Source organism: Homo sapiens, chromosome 7 (genome assembly GCF_000001405.40).
Source record: "Homo sapiens chromosome 7, GRCh38.p14 Primary Assembly".
Taxonomy (NCBI): Eukaryota; Metazoa; Chordata; class Mammalia; order Primates; family Hominidae; genus Homo; species Homo sapiens.
The window spans coordinates 82,913,117-82,927,773 of record NC_000007.14 but is presented as its reverse complement, the minus strand read 5'-3'; the positions used below and the strand labels follow the sequence as shown (position 1 = coordinate 82,927,773).

The following is a 14,657-nucleotide window of genomic DNA, read 5'->3' as shown; positions in this document are numbered from 1 at the left end:
ATGCAATATAAGTGCCTAGTAAACAAATATTAATTGATGTGTATAAAGATACAGTGCAAGAATGAATAAGCAGTGAGATTATGAGGAATTTTACTAAAGTGAGATTTAAAAGACCATGATGAGAAGAAAGAATAAACAAGATGGGTTTTGGTGAGCTTTCACCCGATCCTTGAAATCCTGGCAAAACCATTTGGATGCCGTATAATCATCAGTAAAGAAACCTGGAGAAAAAGAAAAAGGATCGATATGCTGATTGTGGTCTCACAGAGATAGCCAAGTGTAAGGGCACTCTCTAGAAAGCTATTGTCATTTTCCAGTTTTGAAATGACAAGGCTCCAGACTGAAAATTCAAAAACACGAATGCATACATGGATTGTTCTAGGAAAGAGTAAGAACCTCTGATTTACACATAGAATGATAATTAACAAATTGATTTAAAAAAATAGTGGTTATCTCATGAAAGCGAAATAGCCAAGGATCGTATGTGTGAAAAGTACTTTAAACCTACGCTAGTTATATAAATATTAAAAGTTATAGATGAAAACCCCAAAGGCAGTGTACAATTGGTCCTAATTTTCTTATGGTGCTGGATCTGCCATTTGACAAAAATGAGTATCCGAAAGAATTCATCTTTTTCTAAAGCAGTCTCTTGTTAGAGTGTGAATGCTCCTCTTGAACTCTTTATATGTGTGATAGTTGAATAAAGTGGTTGACAGACAGGAAAAAAGAAAGGAAAAAAGAAACCTAAATATTTTGTCTGTTAAACAGAACTATATTCAGGAACCATATGAACAGGATATATTTTGTTCCCTTTGTTGTAGTATAGCCGTCTGATTTCATACAAAGGAAGGAAGCAAAAGGAAGGGAGGGAAGGATGGAAAGAGGGAGGGAGAAAAATGTACACATACATTCACATATCAAAAAATGCTCACCTTAAAAAAACTTTTGAAAGGGCCTTCCAAAATATTTTATACAGATTTTAGGAAAGAAAAGAAATTAATCTCTTTGGGACTTTCCAGAAAATATAATGCAATAAGTGTCACACAGACTGGCATCTCTAATGCTTCTGTCCAGTGAGGTAGAAACTAGTTTTCTGCTTGACTGCTCAGCCCAAGAGCAATGACTTTAAGCAAGAAAACAAAACAAACTGGGACAAGAGGCGCATTAAGGAAAAGCTTAGAGATGTCTGATAAAACACTGAGTGCTGTTTTCACAGTATCAATTAGAGAATTTTTTTATGTATTACTAGACTTTGATAAATAACTTATACATGTACGACTTTTAAATATGTTCTATTTTGTTTTTATTCTATTATTAATAGGGTCCTATAATTTAGTTTCTCACATTTTTTGCCACTGGAATCTTAAAATTAGAGAAAAACTACCTTTAAAAAATTTTTCAATTATTTTCACAAATGGTATATTGTTTCATGGCAGTAGAGATTCAAGACTGTTTATGAATAAAGATGTCTATAATTTTTAATACCTCAAACATAGACCCATAGTGATGATACTGCTACTTATATATTGCCTTAATTCATAGAAACAATTATTAAACTATTTCACAATACTCTAATTGAAGAATTTGATGGTCTTGTTTTCTACATGCAAAACACTGTGCCCTATTGCAATGCTAATGGATTTTAAACATTTTATTCATGTTGAAAGTATTTTTTCACGAATGGTATCATTTAGAATTTCCTTATTCACAGGTCGCTCCTCTGTTATCTTTCTTATTTTTGTATGCCTTGAAGCAATAGGATGGTGGTGGCTCACACCTGTAATCCCAACAATTGGGGCAGCCAAGGTGGGAGGATCTCTTGAGCCCAGGAGTTTGAGACCAGCCGGGGCAACATAGTGGGACCCCGTCTCTACAAAAATAAAAATAAAAATTAGCTAGGCATGGTGGTGCACACCTGGAGTCCCAGCTACCTCAGAGGCTGAGGTGGGAGGATCACTTGAGTCCAGGTCAAGGCGTGATGAGCCATGACCGCACCACTGCACTTCAGCCTGGACAACAGAGCAAGAGCTTGTCTCAAAAAAAAAAAAAAAAAAAAAAAAGCAACAAAAATTCTTGAGCTTTTGCACTAAACATGTATGTTTTATCTCCAAAGAGCCAAAGAGGGTAGAAGCAGAGGATAGAGGGATGGTGCTTAATAATGGGTCTATTTTGGCAACACATTACTAATGGTATTGTGTGTAAGATAGACTGCTGAATATTTCTATATTTAACTGTGATTTTATCTAAAAACAGGAAGCTACAGCTGTTGGAGTGCAGGTGGGGACCCCTAGAAGGTGTATTGCTGTTTTCATTGACATTTCATAGAGTGAAACTCTGCTTCCAGTCTATTTAAAGGGAAGGATGTGTAAAGGGATGTTTCCTAATTTGTAGCCTTATGCCTGCCTTACAGCTTCATCATCCTCTCCCAACCTAAATTCCTAAAATCAAAGGAATATGTTAATTCCTTTACTGCACTATATTTATATATTTTAAAGACCTCTTGTTTGGAGAGAAAAAAAAATACCCTGCATATTTCACTTCCCTTCCCAATGCTTAAGAGGCATAAATAGCTCTTTTTAGATGATTTTTACACCCTAAAAAGAATGAATGGCCAGGAGCAGAGCGGAAGAAAATAAAGTCAGAGAGGAGTATAGTATGTATAAGTATTACTCTTCTTACCAAGGCAAAGAAAAGGCTTATTCTTGTATTCAAAGTCAGTGCAGTTCCTGGATGAAGATAGTTGAAATAAAATGGGACAAATGACCCTAAGAGCAATTTCCATTCTCAAGTTCTCTTTAATTTCTTGTACAGTTAGAGGGAGGAGACTGTGTCTTATTCATCATTTTAATCTCAGTATTTAGTACAGTGAACAGTATGTAAATGTCTGTTGTGCATTAAAAATGTTTCCATCTATTTTTTAACTTTTTTTAAGCTATCAAATTTTTTTGTTCTAATTCCTTTTTTTCTTAAGTTATTTTTAAGATAGTAGGAGTTTCTTGAATTTTAAAATTAAGCTTAGCTATGCACCTGATCTCCTTTAGTGATTCTGGTATTTAATTTCTCAAACTAAATAATTACTTTCTTTTTTAAAGTTTTAATCTCTTTTTAATTACATCATTGATCCTTCTTATAAACTTAGAGTAACAGACAATTTTAACAACATACTAGGACTTACATAATTTTTCAGTCAGACTGGCAGTTCCTTACACTCAAACTTTTCCATAATTATTGCAGTTGTGGACAATTTTTCAAGATTTTTATAGGGTTAAGCTAGAAGGATTCATCTTCTTCACTGAGTATGCTCATTGTTGTAATTGTAGGCACCTTGTCTTTTTCTTCCTGTGTTCTAATAAAACTGTATTATTAAAATAGCTAGTTGAATACCTTTTGAATATTAGTTTTTGATAATTTAATAGTTAAGAATTTTTCTATACAATAAAGGGGATTAATTTTAGGGTCCTAAGAATTTATAACAAGGCAAGATAATCAGGTACATTCCTATCCTTATTAATTTTCTCCTGTCATTACCATAACCTAGAATGTATCTTTTTTGTTTACCCTTTATTCCCTCCGGTTCTCTTTTCAAGGCACTATTTAATTTCTAGTTACTCTAGGAAGTCAGCCTTTTCGCATTCAGAGTAAGGCACTATGATAAACAAATAGTAGGATTCTCATCATCAATAAATATATTAATTAACAATCAATCAGGATTTTCTGCCTGAGGACATTATTTAGTATATCACGTGCATGAGTGTCTTTCAGCAAGGTCTGTTTTTCCTTCCAGGAGACATTTGCCAATGCATGGTGACGTTTTTGATTGACATGGTATACTGATGGTATCTAGTGGGTACAAGCCAGAGATGCAACTAAACATCTAACAATATAGAATCATCTGGTCCAAAATGCCATTACTGTCAAGTATGAGAAAGATTTATTTATTACCTATATTGATGCTGGACCATAAATAGCCATGGTTGGTACATGAATCCCTGACAAATTTTATTACTACTTTCCATCCTTATGGCCAAAACTATGTTGCTGGCTGTCATAGGAAAACATTAAATGTTCTGCTCAAGCACTGCTAGAATATATCTATTTCTTCTATGTTATCTACATGGAGTGCAACATTGTAATTAAAGAAAATTAAATTGAGCTGTCACAATTTTCTCTTTGACAGAGCCACACTGATTGCTACCTAACATACTGCATTAGAAATCATTGTCAGTGATTGCACATTTACAGTTTGAAGGTTTGCCCTGGGATTTCACATGGTATTGGAGTTAATTTGACTGGTATGTAATAACCACTGCTGCTTGTTCCATCAGTTAAAGAAGAAAATGAATAAAGATTTTAATATGTAGTTTGCTTTTGAACTTTTTTTTTCTGTATTTGCTCTTGCATTTTTCCCCTCTCTGTTGGCATAGAGCATTCTCTGGATGTGTTTCCATCTCACAGGAATTAAGGCATCACTAGCCCAAAATGAAACCAGATTATCCTTCATATTTTTCAAAAAATTAAGTTTCTTATTTTCCCTGCACTTAGAATGCATTCTCCTGTTTAAATACCATCCATTCTTTAAGAACCAGGCTTCCTGTTATATCTTAATCAATCATTCTCTCTTATCCAGTTCCCAATACATATACATAATTATATACTCGTCTAACTCACCTTATGTCATGTTAAATGGAAAACCTCTTAAGGAGTATGTATCAAAATATCTTGTTTACAGATAATTTTTTGTGAAATTATGCTGTTTGAAAAAGAATCCACATCTCTACCACCTAAATAAAGGGCCTGCATACAAATATTTCCTGCTTAGTTGAGAGAACAAACCTAAAAATCCAAGATATTATTATGATGAACATTTATTTCTGACAGTAGGTATGGCTTTCTATACTTATAAAATGAAATATATGTTGCTATGTCTCTCTAGCAGTATGATGGTTTCAGAATGGTTTAGAAGTATATCTTTGATATTGACACTGAGAACTATTTAGCAAAAGATGAGGTAGTTCGTTTTTTTTCTTTCCAACTTCTATTTTAGGTTCAGAGGGTACATGTGCAGGTTTGTTACATAGGTAAATTGCATGTCACAGGGTTTGGACTACAGATTATTTCTTCACCCAGGTAACGAGCATAGTACCTGATAGCTAGTTTTTCGATCACCACTCTTCTCCCACTCTCCACCCTCAGACCCCAGTGTCTATTGTTCCCTTCTTTGTATCCATGTGTACTCAATGTTTAGATCCCACTTATAGGTGACAACATGTGGTATTTGGTTTTCTGTTCCTGTATTAATTCACTTAGGATAATGGCCTTCAGCTCCATTCATGTTGTCACAAAGGACATGATTTCATTCATTTTTATGGCTGCATAGTATTTCATGGTATATATGTACCACATTTTCTTTATCTAGTCTACCATTGATGGACATCTGGCTTGGTTCTATGTCTTTGCTGTCGTGAATAGTGCTGTGATGAATATACACATGCATGAGTCTTTATGGTAGATCGATATATATTCCTTTGAGTATACACCCAGCAATTCCTTTGCTGGGTCAAATGGTAGGGTTTTTTTTAAGTTCTTTGAGAAACCTCCAAACTGCTTTCCACAGTGGCTGAACTAATTTACACTTCCACCAGGAGTGTTTAAGCATTCCTTTTACTCCACAACCTAGTCAACATCTGTTTTGTTTTGTTTTGTTTACTTTTTAATAATAGCCATTCTGACTGGTGTAGGATGGTATCTCATTGTGGTTTTGATTTGCATTCCCCTAATGATTACTGATGTTGAGCATTTTTTCATATGCTTGTTAGCTATGTGAATGTCTTTTGAGAAATGTCTACTTATGCCCTTTGACCATTTTTTTAATAAGATTGTGTGTTTTTTTTTGTTAAGTGCCTTATAGGTTCTGGATAATAGACCTGTGTCAGATGTATAATGTGCAGGTATTTTCTCCAGTTTTATAGATTTTCTGTCACTCTGTTGATAGTTTTTTTGCTGTGCAGAAGCTCTTTAGTTAGGTCCCACTTGTCCACTTTTGTTCTTAACTGCAATTGCTTTCAGAGTCTTCATCATGAAATCTTTGCCAAGTCTTATGTTCAGAATTGCATTTCCTACGTTTTCTTCTAGGGTTTTTATAGTTTTAGGTTTTATATTTAAGTTTTCACTCCATCTTGAATTGATTTCTGTATATGGTATAAGGAAAGGGTCCAGTTTCAATCTTTGGCATGTGGCTAACCAGTTTTCCTAGCACCATTTGTTGAATAAGGAGTCACTTCTCCTTTGCCAGTTATTGTCAACTTTGTTGAAGATCAGATGGCTGTAGGTGTGCAACTTTATTTCTGGGTTCTATATTCTGTTCCATTGTTGTATGTGTCTGTTTTTGTACCCATTTCATGCTGTTTTGTTTACTATAACCTTGTAGTATAAAGTTGGATAGTATAATGCCCCTAGCTTTGTTTTTGTTTGTTTGTTTGTTTGTTTGTTTTTGCTTAGGATTGCTTTAGCTGTTTGAGCTATTTTTTGGTTCCATATGAATTTTAGAATAGTTTTTTTATAATTCTGTGAAAAATGTTGTTGGTAGTTTGATAGAAATACCATTGAATCTATACATTGCTTTGGGCAGTATGGTGAGGTAGTTTCTTCAAACAATAATTTCCCAAAAATATTCATAATTTATTAGTTATTTGTGGGCAAAGTGTAGATTTCTTCCATCTAGTGTCTCTTGTATCTATGTCTTTAGCATCTAGAGCCATGCATTTTAGAATTATACTTAACAACTCTTTGAATACATCAATAAATTGAATGTTTTCATATTTATTATATATAATACTGGATGAATAATTTTGGTCTAGCATCTAGGACTTTAAACAATAGCCCCTGTGTATTTTTAGTTTTTCAATATTTGAAAAAACTACAGATCTTTCTTTTCTCATCCTCATGTTGAGCTCAGAGAATTCTGACAATGAATTAATGCACATACATATATTTAAGTCACTTAGGATAGTGTGGCTATGTGCTTTACTTATTATTTTCATTAATATTCCTAACACTCCAAAACAAGCAAAATTTCCTTTGCCATATAGAAATGGTATAAATTGCATTATATAAATTAACTTTCCTAAGGAAAATGTTCTTTAAAATTACTTTGGACAGCAAACCTTATCCTGAAGGTTATTTGTTTGTTAGCTTGATTACCTCATTGATGTTGCAATTTGCAGTTAGTGATTTTTTTCCAGTCTTTCTTAAACCTTTATTCTATTATTAGGGCTTTTTATTCCCTTCTCTTTGTCTATTTTCACAGGTATTTTAAAATACTTTAAATTTATATATCCAGTATATTTAGTACAATTTTTTTTTCTAGATTAAAGGCACCAGGTCTATCTGAAAACAACTTTTAAGAGCTGGTCAACACAGAAAACCATAGTAAACAACAAGTTTTTTTCTAGACTGTCTTGCCATCTTTAGTCATGGCTTCCAGCTACATCATCTTTAATCATAATAAACTTTCTTTATGCAATTTTGATCTTTTTAAAATAAATTATATTGTATTGCTTTTATCTCTGTATTTGGAGTTCTGAACTCTTATTTTATGTTATATTGATTTAATTAGAATTAAATAACTAGTTGAGAGGTTTTTTTAAATTAGAATTAAATACTTAGTTGAGAAGTTTTTATTGTCTTTGTCAGAGTCAGTTCTTTTTGAATTATAAGTTGGTAAGACATTACTTCAAATTCTTTATTGTATTTCTGTCTGTCCTCTTAAGTGATACTAACCAGTCCTAAAACATAGTACACACCCCTCACACACATGCTTAAATTTAAATCTGTGGGGTTCTAATGGTTCTATAGTTCAGATCCTCTTTGTATAAGTGTGCCTAGCAAAGTGCTTTGAAGAGAGGAGACATTTAATAAATATCTGTCTAAGTGAATTGAATAGTTATGTATTTTAGGGAAAATCTAAAAGAAAATTTATGCTGTGGAGGAAAATTCATGGATGATCATATTTACAATTTAACCAAAAGATGGCAGAAAACGCTAATAAAGGACTGAAGTTTTTCTTTAGGGCTCTTGTATTCTTCCCACATCCTCCTTCATTGTTTAAAATCTGTTGCTTTCTCTCAACTAGCCGTTAATGCTGTTTGACCCTCTAATGGTTTCTCAGTGGGCATCCAATCTTCTTTAGGTTTGGAACAGAGATTTATTTCAACCTGTCAATGCAGTTAAAGGCTTGGTTTCTTTGAGCTGAACTATGTTTTAAAACCATTTAAAATAGAGACCAAAATTTTAAAATATGGATTTTCTTGAATGAAACAGATCTCACCACACTGGGTCTCTATTTCTTCATGGCAGCAATATTCTGGAGCCAGCCTTGACAGATGGAACTTAAATTCTCAGGTCAACACATTCACTCCATTACCTTCTGGCTCCTGCAGGCTTTTGGGTTATAGCCTCTTCAATAGTCAAGTACTCCTCCATTTTCATTCCCACTAGAACTTTCCTGACATGATCTATATTTTTTCTCTTTTTTAAAAATTATACTTTAAGTTCTGGGATACATGTGCAGAATGTGCAGGTTTGTTACTTAGGTATACACGTGCCATGGTGGTTTGCGGCACCCATCAATACATAAGAGCATATGACAAGTATAGTGATTGGTCAGTATTTGCTCTCTTTTTTCTCACCTAAACACAAGAAGTGCAAGCCTACCTTACACATATGTACAATATATAACTATTTGTAATGTGCATTTTGAAAAGAAGTGACTTCCAAGTTCAAATATAGCTTCTAAGCTGGGCATCTTAGAGACTTGAATTTTCAACCATTATTAAGTTCTTTGGACTATGAAAATGTTATCAGTGGTTATATTTAAAATTTCCGGTAGTGACCAAACATTAGAATAAAATATTGGTCATATTTTTCATTTCATATTCTCCTCTTTTTATTACATCTTTGTTAGGCATCACGGTCGTGAGTAACACAATTAAACACCCTTTTGTCAAACCATTTCATAATCATAATCATGTAGAATAGGTAAACATTTTAAATTTTCAAATGCTTATGCATATGCCAGATCTACCACATACATGTTAAGAAAAAACAAATAGTATGTAGTTTTCAGCCTCCTGTTGAACAACGTTATAATCAGAGGACTGAAGATGTTTTTGTGGAACAACTTTTCAAAAAACATGACATATCTATGTTAATATTTTTAGTATCAAGAAAATTATTGTAGGATCTTAATTTTTATTTTACTACCATTTAATTATGGCCCATTGATATTCAACATGTTACATGTGTACTTTTTTACAAGTGAAAGAATATGTAAAGATCTAGAATGTGGGTTAATCAAGAAACCATAGTTTTCTATAGAAATATAGAGATTTTTAAAGGAATTGATATTTAATGGGTGCCTGTAATGTGTTGTGTAGTAAGTATTTTACATATTTGTCTCACTTGATTTTTATAACAATTCTGTGATTAATTGTGAGTATTTTATAAAATGAAAAGAATTGAGAATGAGTAGGAAGAAATAAATGACATGTCAAACAGCTGCCTTGGGGACTTCAATACTCCATATACATTGGGATTGCTCTATGAGGAAAAACAAACTACCGCTACAAAGTCACTTTACCTTATTTCAAAGATTCATAACATTTATTCATTTCCATCCAAATATTTTAAGTCTTAGAAACATATAAACTTCAATAAACCTTTAGGATTTTGTTTCATATTATGATGTCTATTAAGGGAACAACTAGTAGGGTTACATGAAGGGAGCAGAAATATGATAACAGAAAACAAATAAAAATTATTAAGGAAATTAATTTGGAAATAATAAAAAGGCAATGAAAGTACAGAGTCTTGGAAAAATGTGATCTAATTAATAAGGCACAATTTTCAGGTACAATATTTATAGACTCTTATTTTTTCTATTTTCTACTCTCAATATTTGGTGACTGGGGAAAATTGGAGAATTAATGTATTTGGATTATAATAGAAAGAAAAGAAAAGGAAGCATCTTGTAAAGATTATGCAACTGGAAAGCAGAAGACCTGAGATCTAGTTGTAAATGTGCCACTGAATACTTAGGTAAATTGAAGTACATCAGTTTATTTTAACTGTAAGTGCTCAAAGTAATCTCTCATGTCTTTTGATATCCTAAAATTGTATGATTCTCAAGACCTTCAATTCTTAGAAAGCAAGTTTATGACAAATTAACCAAATGAAATGAAAAATATCTGAAAACTCACCAACTTTATACTTTTATCTGATTTTTTAAAAGGTTCCAATGGAGTTTTATTGGTCAGTTCTTTTTGCTTCATATGGAAGTTACTAGAGCATTAAAAAGAAACTATACTGCAGGATAATAAAGTCAAAGAAAACCAAATAGTCATGAAAATCTTGAAATATTAAATAGAAAATTAGTCCAGATTATTCCTTTTTTAGAAAAAAAAGACATTAGATAATTTGAAGATGTAATTTAAAAAATGGGAATGACAGCCACTCCAGGGGGCAAAAGTCGGAATGAGAAGATAGGCGCATTAACTTGGTGAATGAACATCTCCAACAAATGTAATTTAAATTTTAGATGGTTAATAAAACACTCTGGAAATAGATTCAGTAAATAATCTTATGTATATTAATTTAGCTTGAAAATAAGTTTTTATAACTGCTAATGTAGGAGTTATAATTAGCCAATTTATTTAAAAAATTATTTTTCAGTTAATTGTATTTGTGACCAATACTTGAAATTATATGCATATATTTTATTTTATCATGCTGCGATAGCAAAATCATACATGAAATCATTTTTATTAAATATAATTCATGGAAGTAGATTTGGTTTTTATTTTTCTTTATACTAAAGTACTATATTTTGTTTACTTGATTATAGACTAAAGGTTCTCAAACCATGACATCCTCTGGAGCCCAGAAAAAAGTTAAAAGAACTCTGCCAAATCCACCTCCTGAGGAGATTTCCACAGGAACTCAATCCACATTCAGCACAATGGGCACAGTTTCCAGGAGAAGGATCTGCAGAACCAACACAATGGCACGAGCCAAGATTCTCCAGGACATAGACAGAGAGCTTGATCTTGTGGAAAGGGAGTCTGCAAAACTTCGAAAGAAACAAGCAGAGCTTGATGAAGAAGAAAAGGAGATTGATGCTAAGCTACGATACCTGGAAATGGGAATTAACAGGAGGAAAGAGGCCCTATTAAAGGAGAGAGAAAAGAGAGAACGAGCCTACCTCCAGGGAGTAGCTGAGGATCGTGATTACATGTCTGACAGTGAAGTGAGTAGCACAAGACCAACCCGAATAGAAAGTCAGCATGGCATTGAGCGACCAAGAACTGCTCCCCAAACTGAATTCAGCCAGTTTATACCACCACAAACCCAAACAGAATCTCAACTAGTTCCTCCGACAAGTCCTTACACACAATACCAGTACTCTTCCCCTGCTCTTCCTACCCAAGCACCCACCTCATACACTCAACAGTCTCATTTTGAGCAACAAACTTTGTACCATCAGCAAGTTTCACCTTATCAGACTCAGCCAACATTCCAAGCTGTGGCAACAATGTCCTTCACACCTCAAGTTCAACCTACACCAACCCCACAGCCTTCTTATCAGTTACCTTCACAGATGATGGTGATACAACAGAAGCCACGGCAAACTACATTATATTTGGAGCCCAAGATAACCTCAAACTATGAAGTGATTCGCAACCAACCCCTTATGATAGCACCTGTTTCTACGGATAACACATTTGCTGTTTCCCATCTTGGTAGTAAGTACAATAGTTTAGACTTGAGAATAGGTTTGGAGGAAAGAAGTAGCATGGCAAGCAGTCCAATATCAAGCATATCTGCAGATTCTTTCTATGCAGATATTGATCACCATACTCCACGAAATTATGTCCTAATTGACGACATTGGAGAGATCACCAAAGGAACAGCGGCATTAAGCACCGCATTTAGCCTTCATGAAAAGGATCTGTCAAAAACAGACCGTCTCCTTCGAACCACTGAGACACGCCGGTCTCAAGAAGTGACAGATTTCCTAGCACCTTTACAGTCTTCCTCTAGATTGCATAGTTATGTGAAGGCGGAGGAAGACCCAATGGAGGATCCTTACGAGTTAAAGCTTCTGAAACATCAGATTAAACAGGAATTTCGTAGAGGGACAGAGAGCTTAGATCACCTTGCTGGTCTTTCTCATTATTACCATGCTGATACTAGCTACAGACATTTTCCAAAATCTGAGAAGTATAGCATCAGTAGACTCACACTTGAAAAACAAGCAGCAAAACAACTGCCAGCAGCCATACTTTATCAAAAGCAGTCAAAGCATAAGAAATCACTAATTGACCCTAAAATGTCAAAATTTTCACCTATTCAAGAAAGTAGAGACCTTGAACCTGATTATTCAAGCTATATGACTTCTAGCACTTCATCTATTGGTGGCATTTCCTCCAGGGCAAGGCTCCTTCAAGATGACATCACTTTTGGCCTCAGAAAAAATATTACAGACCAACAAAAATTTATGGGATCTTCTCTTGGCACAGGACTGGGCACATTAGGAAATACCATACGCTCAGCTCTGCAGGATGAAGCGGATAAGCCATACAGTAGTGGCAGCAGGTCCAGACCTTCCTCCAGACCTTCCTCTGTCTATGGGCTTGATTTATCAATTAAAAGGGATTCTTCTAGCTCTTCCCTAAGACTGAAAGCTCAAGAGGCTGAAGCTCTAGATGTTTCCTTTAGTCATGCATCATCCTCTGCCAGAACTAAGCCGACCAGTTTGCCAATTAGTCAAAGTAGAGGAAGAATACCAATTGTGGCCCAGAATTCTGAAGAAGAAAGCCCACTCAGTCCTGTTGGCCAGCCAATGGGAATGGCCAGGGCTGCAGCTGGACCCCTGCCACCAATATCTGCAGACACCAGGGATCAGTTTGGATCAAGCCACTCATTGCCTGAAGTTCAGCAACACATGAGGGAAGAATCACGGACTCGAGGCTATGACCGTGACATAGCATTCATCATGGATGACTTCCAACATGCCATGTCAGACAGTGAAGGTAAATTGGGCCTCAAACTACCCTGTTACTCTCAAAACTCAAACTCTTATTTTTCTGCATGTTTAATTTCCCTTCTCCAGAGATGTATCCTACTTTTCTTGGTGTGTCTTTTGCATGTTTACTTCAATTTTATTTCTTGTAAATGGAAATTTTATCATGTGTATAGATTCTGTAGCATGCTTTTCTTTATTTAGTTTTACTTTATTCCTTTATTGTTCTGTTTCTTGATTGTTTGCTTGATTTGTTTGGTGTCTGCTTTTCTAAAACCATTATCAAATAATTCTGTCAATAAAATATGGTCATCCTATAAATCCATAGTTGAAAAGTTTTTCATTGTAAGTTTCTTTCATTTTTAAAAATATATTTTAAAAGTTATTGGTCAGTTTCAGTTTCTGAAATTATTAAAGTTTAGAGCCATGAAATACTATTCTGATAGACTTTGTAATAGAAAATCATTTATGGCATGTTTATGAGATCAGTGTTCATTAGTTCAGAAGATTTTCTATTTTTGAGAACTTTTGGATAAGTTCTTGATGTTAGTATAATGTAGAATTTTGTTATTTTCCTTAAATAAAAGATTTCTGTTTTATCTTTCTCTCTCATTATGAATACTATTATTTACAAATTTGTAATTTTGCATTATATGCTAGAAAGTTTAGTACTAAATAAGACATGAAAATAAAGAATTGTACTAGTATGAAGTATTCTTTAAAATTGAAACCTTGTAAACTTCTTTTCTGATTTTAGTTATTTAGAGTTCAAACCTTCCTGATTTGCCCATTTAGCCTTTTCCTTTGGTTTCTTGATTTTGTTTTTTGTATCATCCCATGTATTTGCCCTAAATTGACTTGCTAGTTTTCCATGTTGAACAAGTAAATACTTAACTAAAAACTGATTTAAAGTAGCTTTGTGTTTAAAGATATACAACCATAAACAAGTAGTACAAGTAAATACTTAACTAAAAACTGATTTAAAGTAGCTTTGTGTTTAAAGATATACAACCATAAACATTTTTGAAAATTATCTAGTCCAAGTCTAATATTGAAGATGAGGGAGGAATGATACAAAGGTGTGAAGAGCCTAGCCCATACCAAGAGGATTCATGACTCTTGACTCTTGGTCCTTTTTTTTTCACCTCCTTTGGTTTACATTTGAATGTAGATGTAGATGGAGTTCTGGAAATAAAATATTTTTGATCAAATAAAAGCATTATTATTTCCTTCCTTTAGAGACTCCAAAGAACTAAGCTAACATGAACATCTCCCTTTTCAAACATAACATCTTTCTTGAGGACTCACAGGAAAATACACATTTTTGTGAAAAGGATTTTTTTCCTACATCTTTGTCTAGATGAATAAGATTTTAGGAATTCAAATCTGGATTTTAATAGTTTTTTTATTGAACTAAAATAATCACTGTATCTGAAGGAGGACAAACTGCTTTTGTTTGTGAAATTCCAATAGATTAGTCATTTTCTGATTTGTTTTCGTCTCTACAGGCTATTGGATTGACCATTTTTATTGACAATTAGTTAATTGAATAAAATACTCAATTTGTGGGTTTTTTATT

General features: G+C 33.7%; 1 protein-coding gene across 7 annotated transcripts in view; it reads left to right on the top strand.

Moving 5' to 3' along the window:
- The window catches only part of PCLO (piccolo presynaptic cytomatrix protein), a 408,873-nt gene that overhangs the window by 235,111 nt on the left and 159,105 nt on the right, over nt 1-14,657 (top strand). For all 7 annotated transcript variants that reach the window (XM_017012006.3, XM_047420211.1, NM_033026.6 and 4 more), the window contains one exon: nt 10,901-13,088. In XM_017012006.3, the coding sequence (XP_016867495.1) occupies nt 10,901-13,088 (2,188 nt within the window). The remainder of the gene's footprint in view (nt 1-10,900; nt 13,089-14,657) is intronic.